This window comes from Homo sapiens, chromosome 15 (genome assembly GCF_000001405.40).
Source record: "Homo sapiens chromosome 15, GRCh38.p14 Primary Assembly".
Classification (NCBI taxonomy): Eukaryota; Metazoa; Chordata; class Mammalia; order Primates; family Hominidae; genus Homo; species Homo sapiens.
Genome location: NC_000015.10, coordinates 42,025,722 through 42,042,042, shown reverse-complemented (window position 1 = coordinate 42,042,042; position 16,321 = coordinate 42,025,722). Strand labels below are relative to the sequence as shown.

At 45.9% G+C, this 16,321-nt stretch overlaps 1 protein-coding gene across 1 annotated transcript in view, besides 1 other annotated feature; it reads left to right on the top strand.

The window, feature by feature from the left end:
• Window positions 1-16,321, top strand: part of PLA2G4E (phospholipase A2 group IVE) — a 69,122-nt gene that overhangs the window by 8,661 nt on the left and 44,140 nt on the right. The gene's annotated exons all lie outside the window — the stretch shown is intronic.
• Window positions 8,522-8,581: a silencer, noted in NCBI's record as "silent region_6372". NCBI's record gives its function as "represses an Ori minimal core promoter by ATAC-STARR-seq in GM12878 lymphoblastoid cells {active_cell/tissue: GM12878}" and the evidence as "EXISTENCE:reporter gene assay evidence [ECO:0000049][PMID:35858748]".

The window sequence follows — 16,321 nt, the reverse complement described above, 5'->3', positions numbered from 1 at the left end:
TACAATGATTCCTCTCCACTCCTTGTCAAGTTGGCAGAGAAGTCAAGATTTCCCTCCAAATAGCCCAGAGAATTCGCATGGCCATTGTCCCCGTCCATGAGACAGACCCCCATCATTTGTCTGCTGACTTGAAACTTTACAAAAGCCTCTCTGCTGATTTGCCCAGGCTAAAGAATGCATCTGCCCTGTCAGGAGCAATGAGGAGGGTCCCTCAGCAAAGGGACCTGGTGACCAAGTGTCTGTTGATAATGATGCAGCTCTGTCCCTCCACACACACACACAGAGCCAGTTCCCCTCAAAGAGACCCACGGTAGCAAAGTGAATAAGCATGAAAGAGTGGTTCTGATAAGGTAAACCCCAATACTCAGTACAGGACACTGGTCTAAACTTCCCTCTTCTTTAGGGCATATTTCCTCTCTGGAACTCCCAGTGTCCTTCCTTGTCATCTGACTTCAATGGGTCTCCTGGGGAGGTCTCTTTAGTTCATCATATACACTGCAATAACTTGAATCCTCAATGAGGAGTCCGAGTCCCAACCTCTTTCCCCAACCCCAGGAGGCTCGTCTGCTCCTATGTAAATTTATGGATGCAACTGGATTCGTAAGGGAGGATGCTGCCCAGCTCCACTCACCAGTATCCAACGCCTAGATGCCATGGATACATCGGTGGGTGCGAGTGGAATGGGGGCACTGCTATTTCCATTCATCAACAACTTTTTTTTTCCTTTTACCCATCAACCACTTCTAAGCCCTATCCCTCATTAAACCAAACAGGCAAATAACAACAACAAAAATTAAAATATTATGGGAATAATACCAAATCAAATATCTTTGAGGATTTGAGCAAGTGTTTGTGTAAAATAAATTCCTAGAAATACAGTTGCTGAGTCAAAGGCAGTGCAAGGTTTGCATATTCATAAGATTACCAAATTGCCCTCCAAAAACTTTGCTCTAATCTACATCCTATCACCAACATTTTACTGACTCTTCCTCACACCCTCACCAACACTACGTCTTATCAATTTTTTATCCTTGCCAATCTGATAAATGAAACGTGGCATCTCTTTTTTGTTTTAATTTACAGTCTTTAAATTATTAGCAATAATCTTTTATATAGACTTATTGCATAGTCCATTGATTCCCAACCTTTCTTGAACTTTAGAATCATCAGAGAAGCTTCTAAAAATTCCAGTGCCCAAGTTATACACCATACCAATTACATCAGAGTATCTGAGAGCCAGGCAACAATACTATTTTTAAAGATCTCCATATGATTCCAATGTTCAGCGAAGTTCTGGAACTGCGGACATACACATTACTACCATTAATTGCCTGTTTATATCTTTTGTCAGTTTTTATGTTGTTTGCATTTCAGTATTTATGTGAAAGAGATTTTAGTTTATTGGGAAAATTAACCCTTCATCATAAGTTTAGTAAACATTTTTACAAATTAGTCTTGTATTATTGTGTACGTGTTTTGACATAGAGAAACCTAATATCTGAAAACTGTACAGTCAGAATTATCCATTCATTTTCCTTTATTGCATCTCAATTTCATATCTTGCTTTCTCACTAATAATGATAAAACAATACCAGTACATCTGGAATTTATTTTAATACAAGGAGATATGGAACCAGCTTATTTTTCCCCAAATGACAAAATGATTATTTTTTTCAGAAAACTTATTTTTTCAACATAATTTATCAAATAACCTGTCCTTCCCCTGTTAATTTGCAATGTTGTCATTTGTACATGTAATTATCCTGTATGCACTTGGATTTGTCTCTGGATGCTCTAGGCCTTAAATACTGTAGTGTGTGTGTAGGTGTGTGTGTGTGCGTGTGTGTGTGTGTTTTAAAGTTTTGTAGAATGATGGAGGGGGTCTCACTATGTTACCCAAACTGGTCTTGAACTCCTGGCCTCAAGCAATCCTCCACCTCGGCCTCCCAAAGTGCTGGGATTACAGACAGAAGCCACCACAACTGGCCAAATACTGTGGCTTTAAAGTACATTTATTGATAGAATTAGTTTTCTCTCCTTAATTTTATCTGTTTTACAAATTCACTGAACATTTTTTCATTTTCATTTTTCTGCATACATTTTACAACTTTTGGTTAAGTTCCCCCAAAACTTCTGGTTGGAAATTTAATTGGTTATTGTACTAAATAAATAGATCAATTTAGGAAGAATTGATCATTTTATTTTCCCATTTAAGAACAAGGTATGTATGTTAATTTTTCAAGCTGTTTTATGTCTCTTAGGAGAGTTTTATAGCTTTCTACATAGTGTCTGTGAATTTCTTATTTATTTCTCCTTAGGTTTATATATTTTATTTTTCATTGCTATTTTGCATGTGATCTTGTTTTCTTCTGTGGCTATGATTTTTATAGAAAAATTAATATTTTTTACTTATTTATCTTTATAATCCAGTCTTCTTATATCCTAAATCCAAGTATATGTGTATATACATACATATGCAAATTCAAGTATTCATATATATATATACGTACACATACATATGTATGTATATATGTATACTTGGTTCTATTTGGAGATATTCATTCTATTCTGTTGATCAGTCTGCTAATCAGTATACCAGTATCACACCATTAACAAAAGTATTTTTCCATATTGGTACATTCTCTCTATAGTTCTCTTTCCAAGACTGCATAGAATTCAGTCATAGAAATATGCAATTATTTACTAATATTTCTACCAATATTGAGCATATTATGTGATTTTCAATTCTTCACCATCAAAAATTTTAAATGAAATTTTTGAGCAGATAGCATTTGTATTCCTCGGTGTGAGTTTCCAAGAGTGTAATTACTTGGGCATAAATAGTCTTGTAGCTTTGGATAACTACTGCTGTATATTCATAAGTGTTGATGGTGCTTAGATTTGACTAGGGTAAGAGGCTTGAAGGCAGTGGGTGGGGGAAGTGGGTGGAGTCAATGAAAAGTCAGTCCCAAGAACATGGATTAGTGAAAGTAAAAGATCTTGAAAAGATGCCCACGATCCCTAATAATAAGGAAAATGCCTATGAAAACCACAATGAGATACCATTTTATATCCACTGGATTAGCAAAACTCAAAAAGTCAGATGATACCCCATCGTATAGCCCAATGGGAATTCTCATACATAGTATTGGAAGTGTGAATCAGTAACAATTACTTTGGAGAACACTTTGGTAATATCTAGTAAAATTGGTGATAATATCCCTCATAACCCAGCAATTTATACTCCTAGGAATATAGACACTAAAGAAACATGACATGTACAAGAAAGTGCACAGTAGCATTGTACTCCCTGCCCGCACACTGCTTTCAAGCCTCTTATTCTCCCTTACCATAGTCAATTCTAAGAAAGCTCACGGTACGTACTGGTCTGTGGCCTGCTAGGAACTGGGCCACACAGCAGGAGGTGAGCAGCAGGCTGGTGAACATTAGCGCCTGAGCTCTGCCTCCTGTCAGATCAGCAATGCCGTTAGATCCTCATAGGAGTGCAAACACTATTCTGAACTGCCTATGCAAGGGATCTAGGTTGCACGCTCCTTGTGAGAATCTAATGCCTGATGATCTGTCACTGTCTCCCATCACCCCCAAATGGGACCATTTAGTTGCAGGAAAACAAGTTCAGGGCTCCCACTGATTCTACATTATGGTGAGTTGTATAATTATTTTATTATATATTACAGTGTAATAATAATAGAAATAAAGTGCACAATAAATGTAAAGCACTTGAATCATCCCTGCCCCCACCATCCATGGAAAAATTGTCTTCTACAAAACCAGTCCCTGGTGCCAAAACGTTGGGGACCACTGATCTAAGATATACCAATACCTTAGATATTACACATCAGAATATTACACATTATAAGTTTTTAAAAAGTATCTCTTATTTCACAGATTTTAAAATGGGAAAAAATGTGTACCTTGGAACTGATGAAATACAGTAACAGCAAAACTTAATGTTATGGGATCTTTGGGGTGTCACTTTTCTGGCCAGAAACCTGTGGCTATTGGCACCTTTGCCCAAGTTTTGCTTGGGTCCGCTGGGTTCGTTCTGCCCACTCAGCCTGGCAGGCTGCACTCAGCTCACACTACCAGCCTGGATCCCTGCCAAGGGAGACTGCATAGAGCAGCAATGGGTGTGTGAGCAAACGTGGGGTCTGGCTACATGCCAGCTGCCGCAGTGAGGTGGGCAGCTCCAGGTGCACCGCAAGCAGCTTCCACAGCTGGCTCCAGGGAATGTGGTGGTGCCCAGAAGCTTGGAGATGCCGGGAACCACAGGGCCCCGAAGAGGGAGTCACAGATGTGGCTCCATGAGCTCCCAGGTTTGGGTTCCCTGAAGGGCCGCAGCTCTTCTCTCCTTCTCTTCACCCACAACGAAGTGAGCAAGGGGCATGTTTCAGCCCTGTTTGTGTTATAGATCTTTTAGACCCGCCATTAGACAGGTACCAAGTTCTTGTCCTGTGACCAGGAAGAACAAGGTACACAGACAAGTGGGAGGTGAGCAAGAAGATGAGGAGATTTATCCAGCAATAGAACAGCTCAGAGGAGACCCGCAGTAGGTAGCTCTTTTCCCAGCCAGGGCGTCCCTACTAGTGTTCAACTCCTAGCAGAGAGGAGGCCCTGGAGTGGGAAGCTCCTCTCAGCAGCTGGTCATCCTGACGACCGCTCTGCTCTGGCTGAGCCCAGGGCTTCGAGGGGAGGAAGTGCGCGCACATTGGTCCGTGGGCAGCCATGGGTGAGCCTGGAAAAGGTACCACAAGTTCCCATTCTGATCTACAGGACTGGCAGCCTGGCCTGAAGGTGGGGCCTCACCAGGGACCCACCCCCTTCTACCCAGGAGCTTGTCTGCCTTCTGCTGCCACCTATGGTGCCCAGGCTGCTGGTGCCAAGGGGCACCTACAGGCCAGCACGGAGCTGCCCTCAGTCCCCCACCTTGGCCTCACCCCCCACCCCATGCTCGTTGGCACCCAAAGTCTGGAGGGGGCTGAAGCGGCAGGGGGCTGGCATACCAGCACTGCCCCAAATATGTGCACCCTCGGCCAGGCTGCAACAGCACCTGGACTCGGCCCCACGGTGCTCTGAGATCGGAGTGGGCGCCGGCAGCGGGGAGAAGCCAGGCAACGGGAGCAGGCACTTCCAAGCCTGCAAGGCCGGGGGGTCGGGGGGACTCCCAGGGCCCCCAAGAGCACACAGAGGCCCAGGCCCACAGCCCCAACCTGGGCTGTTGCCTGCTCCCCGGCTCCCGGCTCCCGCCAGCTCCGCGGAGCATGCAGCTCCATCCGCCCCTCCTTCGCAGCCTGGGGCAGGGGCTCCAGGTCCTGGCTGGGCCCCGGCCAGTGTCCAGGGCAGGGGCGACACGGCTATGAGCTCCCTTCTGTTGCCCTGGCAACCAGGGGCGGTCCAGGGTGGTGTGGATGGCAGGCCCTGGCCCAGCCTTTGGGAGTGTCAGGCTAGGCGGTCACCCAGATGCAGGGTGGACCTGGGGACGCGGCCCTGAGCAGCGCCGAGCAGAGCCTCCACCCGAGGCACAGGAACCCGGCATCCTCGGCGATGGCAGCAATGGCTGCCCCGCTGGCTGGTCCCCAAAGCGGCACCGCTCCCACTTTCAGACCCGGGCCCCAGAAGCGCATCCCCAGTTCCCCCTCCTGGGGCTCCTGCTCCCAGTGCAAGAGCAGCACCGCTCTGGGCCCAGTTCCACTTCAGGGCCCTGCTCTCCCCAGTCGCGCTGCTCCCCAGCTGCGCTGCTCCTCTGCCAGCGGGCGACCTGGCCCAGCCCCATCGCCGCGGCCCCCAGGGCGGTGGGCTGCAGAGGAGGCTGTCGGCCTCCTCCCCGCACCCTCCCTGCTGCGGCCGGTGATGGCAGCGGCCGCTCCAGATGGTCCGCCGCTGCCATCATTAGGAACAGCTTAAATGTCTAACCCACAAAATCATAAGTTGTGGAATAGGTCACAACTGTGAAAATGAATGAACCATATCTATTGTTAACCAATATAGGTGAATCTTACAAGCCTAATGTAAAGTAGAGAAAAAAAACATGTTTATAGCAGAATGGATATTTGTATGTTACCTAGCTTATATAAAGTTTAAAAACGTGAAATAATTCCAAGTATAGCTCAGGAACACACACATAGGTAGAGAAAGAGTAAAGAAATGCCTGGGAGTGATAGACATGAATTCAGGTTGCTTTAAAAAAGTATAAAGCAATATATACGATATACAAAATGTATAGAGAATAATAAAATGGATACCTATGACTCCACTGCCCAGCCTTAAAAAATCACACTGGTGACAGAGTCAAAGGCCCCAGGGTGCTCCTTACCCAATCACTTCCCCTCTCTCTCTTCCTAGGGATAGTGTTTAACCTTTGGTTAAAAAATTAACCTGAAGCCCAAGTGCCGAGCCCATCTGCAAATTCTTATCCTGATTTGCATATGACATGATTTCCATTTCCTGTGGCTGTTTTGCAACATCCCCTGGGCCTGCCCCATCCTGCCTGCCTTTCCCTTCCTTCAACTGAGCCTTACTCGCTGGGAAAGCATGGTTGCCTCTCCCATTCCCAGCAGGAGAACGAGGGTGAGTCCCCACTCTCTAGCCCCTAGGCATGGACAATAACCAACGCTTTTCATCTGTCCCAGTTTACAGGTGTTGAAATGTAATGTTTCAGGTGCTGGTTGCTCCTCCCAGGATGGGGAGAGGCTTTCCCTATGCAGGGGATGTCACCAAGGCAGTAAGGTATGTGAGTGGTGGGTAGACATATGACAGTGTTGACTTCCAGTCAAGGACAAATGAGAGATCAGAGCAAATCCTGGAAATGAGGCGAGAAGAACAGGAAGATGAGAGAAGGAACTTGGAAGATCTCTTCCCCCACGATTCGGAGAAGAGGGCTCCTGAAGGCAAATGTTCAGACATGTGCCTCCCACCGTAGATGTGCCCTGGAGGAGCATATGCCCTAATTTAAAGGCATAAGGGACTCAGTTCAGGGGACAGTGAAAGGCATCACCCCTGTGATCCCCTGCACAGAGCCCAGAGTACAGCCCTCCTGCAGATGTGGCAGCCAGGCACATCAGGAGTCTGTGTGGAGTTCTGTTCAGGCGCAAGTGGCAGAGTAACTAAAGCTGATTTCAAATACGCTTAAGCAAATAAAAAGCCTTTATTGTCTCATGTAACTGGGAAGTCCAAGGGGCATATAGGCTTCAGGCATAGCTGGATCTAGCAGTCCAGATCATGTCCTCAGGATTTTGTCTTTTTTTCTCCTTCTCTCAACTTTTTAAGGCTGAGTCCTTCCACATGGTGACAAAGATGGCCACCAATAACTCAAAGCTGACCTCTTCTTCTCTCTCTTTCTCAATATTCATATAATCCTTAAAAAGAGGACGTAGAAGAGGAGGGGGCAGAGGAGGAGATTTAATTGTTCCTGAACCAATCACTGAGTCTAAGAGGATGAGAATGAGACTGGCCAGACTGGTTGGGGCCCACCTTTGAGAAAGGAGGATGATTCCCTGATGACAGCTCCATAAGATCCTAAAGGAAAACGGTGCTTTCTTATCAGAGGAAGGGGAAAGGGACTCTAGGTTCATGTGTCCACTATACCAGCATCCCACATACAGACACAGTCAACCGTTAACCTCAGGACTGGCTTATGTACTCAGAATCAGCACATACAGATTTTCTTCATATTCTCCAAAATAAAATCAGAAAGTAATCAAATTATTTTGCCTCAAATAATTACAAAGCCTAGGAGTACTCCGGGTCTGGCATACCAGGTATGTCTCTACTTCCAAAAATACTTTCAAGGGAAATTAGAAATAAGTGATCTGATCATCCCAGTTTGCCTGGAACTTTCCAGTTTTAGCACTAAAAGTCTTGAGTCCCAGGAAACCCTTTAGTCTTGGACAAACCAGGATGTTTGGTTACTTTCAAATGAGTCTTTGGTTACTGTTTGCAGCAGACAGTTGCTGAGGGCTACGAGGCAGATACTACAGGGGGTCAGGTCTGTGCTCTTGGAGCCCAGAGTCCTTCCCTCTGAATTTCTACATCACCGGAAAAAGGACTTGAACTCCTCTCTCCCACTCCACCCAATCCCTACACATCCATGTGCACAGAGGGAAATAGCAGTTGAGAGAGGTGAAGTGTCATTTGCACCTTGGCAAGGGGTCTCTGCCATGCTGCCAGCTCCCCTACACAGGACAGGAGGCTTGAGCCCATCCCCACCAGGGCCCACTCCACCCAGGGCCAGGGGCTGCTTTCACAGGCTGCGGGGCGGCAGCAGGGAGAGGGTGCCAGGTGGTGGCTCTTGTCCCTCTCCTGCTCCTCACAGACCAGAGGACCCTCTTCTGCCTTTGGTGCTTGATCATCCATGTGTTCAGCCTCACCCAGGTGCTGCCCAGATGACAGAAACCAGGACTGCAGAGTCACCCCAAAGGACCTGCCCCTCCCACCCCACCCACCCAGGATGTCCTTTGCCCCAATGCCTCCTCCAGGTGCCTGGCATCTCACCATGCTGGCCCTGGAGCCCACTAGTCACCAACCAGACAGAGTGCAGAGGCTGGGCAGGGCCCCTCCCAGAAGCCCTCCCAGTGTCATAAGGGCCAGCTCAGCCACTCCTCTGTTTCCTCAGTGAAAATTCTTTAACTCAAACCTTAAAACCAACAGTGTGGCACTGAAAAAATCCCCAGGGTATTTTGCCTTTACTGGCTACAAGACTTGCATTCATTCTTGTCTGGCAGGGCAAGCAGGGCCAAGGCTCATCGGGACAGCCAGAAACCAGGCTCCAGGACCACAGGCCCAGCACCACAGGGCTGCTGACTTTAATCCATCTCGGTGCAACTGGACTTTATTCTCCAGCAAGAGCTCAGGAGCCTTCTTCCTCCTAAAGGTCAAGGCAAGAACACATAAGCGTCCGCTCCCAAGTACTCTCACACAACACACACACTCACACAATATATTCACACAGCACACTCATACAACACACACTCGCACACTTACACAACATACCACTCATACATGCTCACAGCATACTCACATACATACCTGTTCTCACACTCACACACTTCTCACACACTCACACACACATGCAGTGGGGAGGGGTGGGGGAGTCCCCTGCCCTGGATCCTGCCAAGAACAGGCCACAAATTCTGTTTTCACGTAACCCAAATCTCGGTCCCCTCACTAAATATCAGCCTATTTTTAGTTACTTAAAGCTCTTTCCTGGCTGTGTTCCTCCTTTCTGACATCAAACACAATTTTTAGTCTGTGTCTTACCCCACAAATCTCTCACCTTATTCTCTTCTCTGTGCCCAAGCATGGCATAGCCTCACCAGGCAGCAAGGAACAAGCCAGGCCCCAGAAATCAGCAGTGAGAAAGGCCTCTAAGGCCACTTGGTTGGATGGTCCACACCACGGCTGCCTCTCAGACTCACCTGAGATGGTGAAAATATACAGAAGTCTCCCCACCCGGTGTTCTGTCCACCCCCACACTGCCTTCCTAAATGCAAATGGACATTGACCTAAAGTCAGTAGGGAGCCAAGGCCTTCCTCAGCTGTGCTGTCCTTGTCAAACCCAGGACGTGATCTGAAGGCATCTCCTGCTCATGCCCCTCCCAGGCCTGACACTGCCCCTTCTGCCTCCCCTTCCCTGTGGGGTGGTGGGCAGGGACCCTTGACTCCGGGGTTTGAACTGAATGGTGCCCATGGGGAATTATTTTTCTCTGTTAGAACTTGGCTGGAACTCAATTCAGTCAAAACATAGAGCACCAGTGAATGGAGTAGTATATTAGTCCATTTTGCATTGTATAAAGGAATATCTGAGACTAGGTAATTTACAAAGAAAAGAGGTTCTGCAGGCGATACAAGCATGACACCAGCATCTGCTTGGCTTCTGGTGAGCCCTCAGGAAGCTTTTACTCGTGGCAGAAGGCTGACAGGGAGCAAGCATGTTGGGTGGCAAGAGGGGAAGCAAGGAGGTGTTGGGAGGTCAACTCTTTTTTAACAACTAGATCTTGCATGAACTCAGAGCGAGAACTCACTCATTACCACCAGAAGGACCAAGCCATTCATGAGAAATCCATCCCCATGACCCAAATACTTCCCACTAGGCTCCACTTCCAACATTGGGGATCACATTTCAACATGAGATTTGGAGGAGACAAACATCCAAATGATATCAGGTAGACTAGAACCATCTGACACAGTTCTTAAGACAGTGGAACTAGGAGAAACCCAGCCTTGCTCAATTACTGCAGGGCTGAACTTGCTAGAAGACCTCCCCTTCCCTCTCCCTGTGAAGTCTGGGAGTCTCCGAGAGGTGCCCTGGCTCAGGAGCTGATGTCAAGAAGCTTGGCAGAGTCTAGTTGTGGGTGCTTGGTCAGCTGGCCTTGGACCAAGAAAACGTGAGGGCTGCCTGTTACAATACCCCCTCTGTGGGAGAACCCAGGAGCTTGGCAGGAGAGGACTGTGGGATGGAGGAGGGAAAAGGGAAGCCTATGGGAGAAAGAGGAGGATGAAGGGAGAGGAAGAGAGGAAAATGAGAGGAGGAAAAATGGGAAAGTGCCAAAGAGAGGAGGCTCTGTGCAGGAGGCTGGGATTTTTAGACGAGCCCAGACATGCCATCACTCTGTAAAAACATCAATCAGACCCAGCCATTTCACGTCTGGGGATTTAGCCAAGAGAAATGAAAATGTATATTTATGCAGAAACCTGTGTGCAAATGTTTACAGCAGCTTTATTTATGATTGCTAAGCATGAAGGGAAGGAACTTTGTGACTGTGTGCGGTGGCTCATACCTGTAATCCCAGCACTTTGGGAAGAAGAGGCGGGTGGATTTCTTGAGCCCAGAAGTTCAAGACCAGCGTGGGCAACATAGTGAGACCCCGACTCTACCAAATTTTTTTTTAATTAGCTGGGCATGGTGGCAAATGCCTGTGGTCCCAGCTACTCAGGAGGCTGAAGTGAGAGGATCACTGGAGCCAGGGAGGTCAAGGCTGCAGTGAGCCCTGATTGTGCCACTGTACTCCAGCCTGGGTAACAGAACAACACTCTGTCTCAAAAAGAAGAAAGAAAAGAAAAAATTTTGCCCTTCAACTGATGAATGGATAAACAAATTGTAATAATTTTACAATGGAATGCTACACAGCAATGAAAAAGTAAACTCTTGTTACACACAAAAACCTGGACCAATCTCAAAAGCCTTATGCTAAATGAAAGGGGCCACACACAAAAGAGCAAACACTGCATGATTCCATTTATGTGAAATTCCAGAAAAGACACACCTAGTCTACAGCAACAGGAGGCAAATGAGTGGTTACTTGGGCTGAGGGGGAAGCAGAAGGCTGTGAGACCACCTCAACACAGATGGAGCAGGACTCTGTTCTAGCTTAATGGGGGATGGCCAGAGGCAAAGTGAAGAAATGAATGAAGGCTGCCACCTGGCCTCCCACCATCTCCCTCTCACACAGGCCCTGCTCCAAATTTCTCCTCCTCCTCCACAAACGTGCAGATTTCTCTTTCCTGAGCTCCATCCCCTCGGGGCCCAGAGTGATAGTTGGAGAGCCTGATGCAAAGTGTGCCCTGCTCTGGGAGCCTATCGTGTATTTGGAGAAAACTAAACCTGGTGGCTGTTCCTCGCAGATAAAGAGGGATAGGCATTGATCTGGGGCGTTTTGCAGGCTACCACTTGCTCCAGGAGCCCCATGATGGCTGATGAAGGCCTTCCAGCTCACCCTAACCACACACAGTGCTGAGAGTCACTTGTTCTACTGTAGGAGCAGGGTTTCCTCTCTTTCTTCAACTCTCTCTGCTCAAAAACCTGCCATGAGTTCCACTGCTGACTGAAGAAAGATTGTGATTCTTTCACTCCATATCCATGAACCTCCTTAATTCCCTTCTCCAACCTTCATTCCTTTACTCATGCCACCTCACCTGAGAAAAATGTCCTCTCCCCTCCTCTTCATTTGTCAGGCCCATATCCTTCCTTCTTCAAGGGCAAGTTCAAATTCTTCCTCCTCCAGGCCCTCTTCTGATCTCCCCAGCCCTGAGTGGCCAAGCTCTCTGAGCAGCTTATTTTTACCTCTCTTCTCATATATGACGTGATTGTCCTGAAACTATCTGTGTAACCTTCCTGCCTCATCCAACTTAAATTGGGAGGTCCTTGGGGCAGCGATGATGTCTTTGTATCCCTGATGTTACTGTACTGTGGATCACTTATAGTGAATCAGCCACGTGCCCGTCATGTGCTAAGTCCTTTACCTCATTTATTCTGGACAACCATCCCATGAGGTAGAAACTGTTATGCTTCCCACTTTACAGATGGAGAAGCTCAGGCTTAGAGGGATAAACTTACCCAAGTCCATGTAGTTTATATGTAACAGAATGAAGGTACAAACCCAGGTCTATTAAAGTCTAGACCGCTATACCATACTCAGTCTTGAGACAATGACGATGTCATCCTTACCAAAGTGATGGGTGATAAGGAGTAAACTCAGTGTGCAGAAGGCTTTTGGCACCTCACTGTATGAGCAAGAGAGTACAGAGCAGGGAAATAAAGCCTGGCATCTAGCTGAAACCAGAGGCCACAAGTTTTAATGGCAGGAAGAGAAATATTGAGCTGTGGATACAAGTGCTTTGAGAATGAAAAGGGCCAGGCACAGTAGCTCATGCTTGTAATCCCAGTACTTTGGGACGCTGAGGTGGGCAGATTGCTTGAGCCCAGGTGTTTGAGACTGGCCTGGGCAACATGGCAAAACCCTGTCTCTACAAAAAAAATACAAAAATTAGCTAGGCGTGGTGATGTGTGCCTGTAATCCCAGTTACTCGGGAGGCTAACATGGGAGAATCACGCTTGAGCTTGGGAAGCAGAGGTTGCAATGAGCTGAGATCGCGCCACTGCACTCCAGTCTGGGCAACAGAGCGAGACTGTCTCAAAAAGAAAAGAAAAGAAAAGAAAAGCACTAAGCTGGCCCTTAATATTTTGTAAAGATAAGGCAGGGCAGAAAATATTCATGAGCCAGATACATTGATGACACTAAGAATACAAACATTACCTACATTGGAGTGAAGGTCCTTTCTTGTAATGTTTATACTTTGTTATCTTGTCATCATGAAATAGAGTCACATCTAGTTTGCTGGCCAGAAGTTCTGGGACATCTCAACATATTAACTTCCATGGTTGATTTTTTAATCTCATCTTACCCAGAGAAGCTGTAAGGCTTGTTTTACTTTATGTCATGAAAATTATATTCTTCATTGTACATTTGTTTTAGGAAATTGGATTTTATTTATCAAGAAACATAGGCACATAGAAGAAGCCTTTTAAAAAGAGAGTACAGGCTGGGCACGGTGGCTCATGCCTATAATCCCAGCACTTTGGGAGGCCGAGGTGGGCAGATCACCTGAGGTCAGGAGTTTGACACCAGCCTGGCCCACATGGTGAAACTCCTTCTCTACAAAAAATACAAAAATTAGCCCAGTGTGGTGGCTCACTCCTGTAATCCCAGCTACTCAGAAGGCTGAGGCAGGAAAATTGCTTGAAGCCAGGAGGTGGAGGTTGCAGTGAGCCGAGATTACACCACTGCACTCCAGCCTGGGCAACAGAGTGAGACTCCGTCTCAAAAAATAATAAATAAATAAATAAATAAATAAATAAATAAGTAAATAAATAAATAAAATAAAAACGCAGTACAGAATCTCAGTTTTCCAGGTCAGCAGCTTTCTACCTGGGATCATAGTGGTTAAATCCAAACTAGCTAGTGTCACAGCTCTGTCACTTACCATCGTGACCTTGAGCAAGGTTCTTATCCTCTCTGTGTTTCAATTCTGCTTCTTTAAAATGAGATAATAATAGTATCTGCTTGGCAGGCAATATAAAATACTTAGACCAGTCCCTGCTACTTTGTAAACATTCAATAAATGAGAGCCACTTTGCTCCTGTTGACATCTGTGTAACGTGTGTGAATGTGTCGTAACTAATTTAGCCATTCCTTTACTGATGGGCATTAGGTATTTCCAGCTGATGAACAAGACAGGCAATGTCCATGTCCTGAAAAGGGTTACAGTCTGGTGGAAAAAGGCAAAAAGAATAAGAAAACAAGATTAGTGAGCATATGATGAATTATGTTAATAGAGCAACACAGAAGCAAGTAGGTAGATGAGAGGTGGAGGGTGGCCCAGGAGGGCTGCCACAGAAAATGGCATTTGAGCAGGGCTGTGATGGATGAGATAGAGCAGCTATAAACAGAGTGCGGTCAAGGACTTCAGGCCAAATTCCCAACATGGGAAGGAGCCTGGGCATGAAGGACCAGTGTAGCTGGAGCTTGGGTGTGAAGGGAAAAGTAGGACAAACGTGAGCAGCCCGACCACACAGACCTTCAGAGAAGGTCTGAAGTCAGCCGCCAGAAGTGAGGGGCAGGCTTGAATCCGGCCAGTCACGTAATCTCGCTTATGTTTTCAGGAGATCACTTTTGCTCTTCTGTAGAGAGTGGCTTATAGGAAGGCAAAAGTAGAAGCAGGGAGATCCGTTAGGCAATATAGGAGTTAAGTGGAGATAATGGCTTAGACAAGAGCAGTGGCAGCAACATCTGGGAAAAAGCTGGAGGGAAAAAAATATCTCACCTGAGGTGCAGAGGACTCCAAGACATGGCCCAATATCCTCACTGGTCCCTGGGGGGCCCCTTCCAGCTTTCTTGATTGATTGCTGTTTCCCTATACCCACAAAACTTTCCCCATCCCCTCCCAGCAGAAAGGCAATCATTTTACTGTGTTCAATGCATATTTTATTTGAATATATTCCCTAGCCATATTGAAGTTGTTGTAGATGTCCTTGATAGATTTACCAGTGTTTCCTGCCTCTTCCTGTCAACACTGATTGTCCCAGACCCATCATGTTGTTCTGCGTGCGTCTCGTGTGTTGCTTTGAATGACTGCAGCAGGTTGCACATCCTTCACTCCCCATTCATGCTTCCAGCCATGCTCTCACATGGGCTGGTTCCACATTTCTCATACTGTAAGTGATGTGGAGTGAATGCCCTCATACACATCTTTCTTTCTTTCTTTTTTTTTTTTTGAGATAGAGTCTTGCTCTGTCGCCCAGGTTGGAGGGCAGTGGTGTGATCTCAGCTCACTGCAATCTCTGTCTCCTGGGTTCAAGCGGTTCTTTTACCTCAGCCTCCTGAGTAGCTGGGATTCTAGGCACCCACCACCACGCCCAGCTAATTTTTGTATTTTTAGTAGAGATGGAGTTTCACCATGTTGGCCAGGCTGGTCTCGAACTCCTGACCTCAAATGATCCTCCCACCTCGGCCTCTCACAGTACTGGAATTACAGGCATGAGCTACCACACCCGACCCTCATACATATCTTTCTATATCCAAATCAGAATTGCTGTCTGATATTCTTACTTTGACTAAGTGACGACAGAGTGTCCTCACTGACCTGATAGCCTCCTCTTCCACAGCAGAGCACGATGGTGACTCTATTCCCATATTCCCACCAACACTTGCCATTATCCAACTTTCTCAATTTTTTCCAATTTAGTAGCTGTAGTAAAATCTCATTTTCATTTTTATTTGCATTTCTGATGAATTTGCATTTCCTGGCTTTTCCCTGTGTTAATTTTTTACAGCCTGCCTTTTTATATGGTATGAAATGGGAATGCTGTTTTCTTTTACTCTATATAGTAAGTCACTTTTGCCATGTCACCCATTAAACAGTTTATTCTTTTCCCATTGACTTGTGGTGCCAATTTTATCATATATTAAGTTCCCTTGAAAAGCAGGGGTCTGTCTCTGTTCCCTCCATTTTGTTCCCATAATATACTGTTTGTATTAGTATGGCTTTGTAATTTATCTTAGTACCTGGTAGGGCAAGACTCTCCTCTATATCTTTTTTTTTAAAGTGATTTTGTTATGCATGAATATTTATTAAGAGGGGAAACGTGAGATCTATTGTAGAGGTGGAACTCTGCTTATGGCATCTTTTGCTTTACCGAAGTTTAAAATTTCTGTGTATTCAAAACTGACAATATTTCCCTATTTGCTTCTAGGTTTTATACCTTGTTTAGGAAGATCCTCCTCCACCTAACATTATATAAATGTACTCTCACATTTCATTTTAAATTATATATAGTTTTATTTTAATGGTTAGATATTTAAGCTATCTGGAATTTATTTTGTGAAGTTAATTTCATTTTATTCCAAATGGTAAGCTAGCTTTTCCAATAATGAATGGTCCATCCTTTCTGACAGAGCAGGAGCACCGTCATCTCAGACAAACACCACCACTCTAAGTTCCAGCTCCCTTTCTAGCCTCATGCATT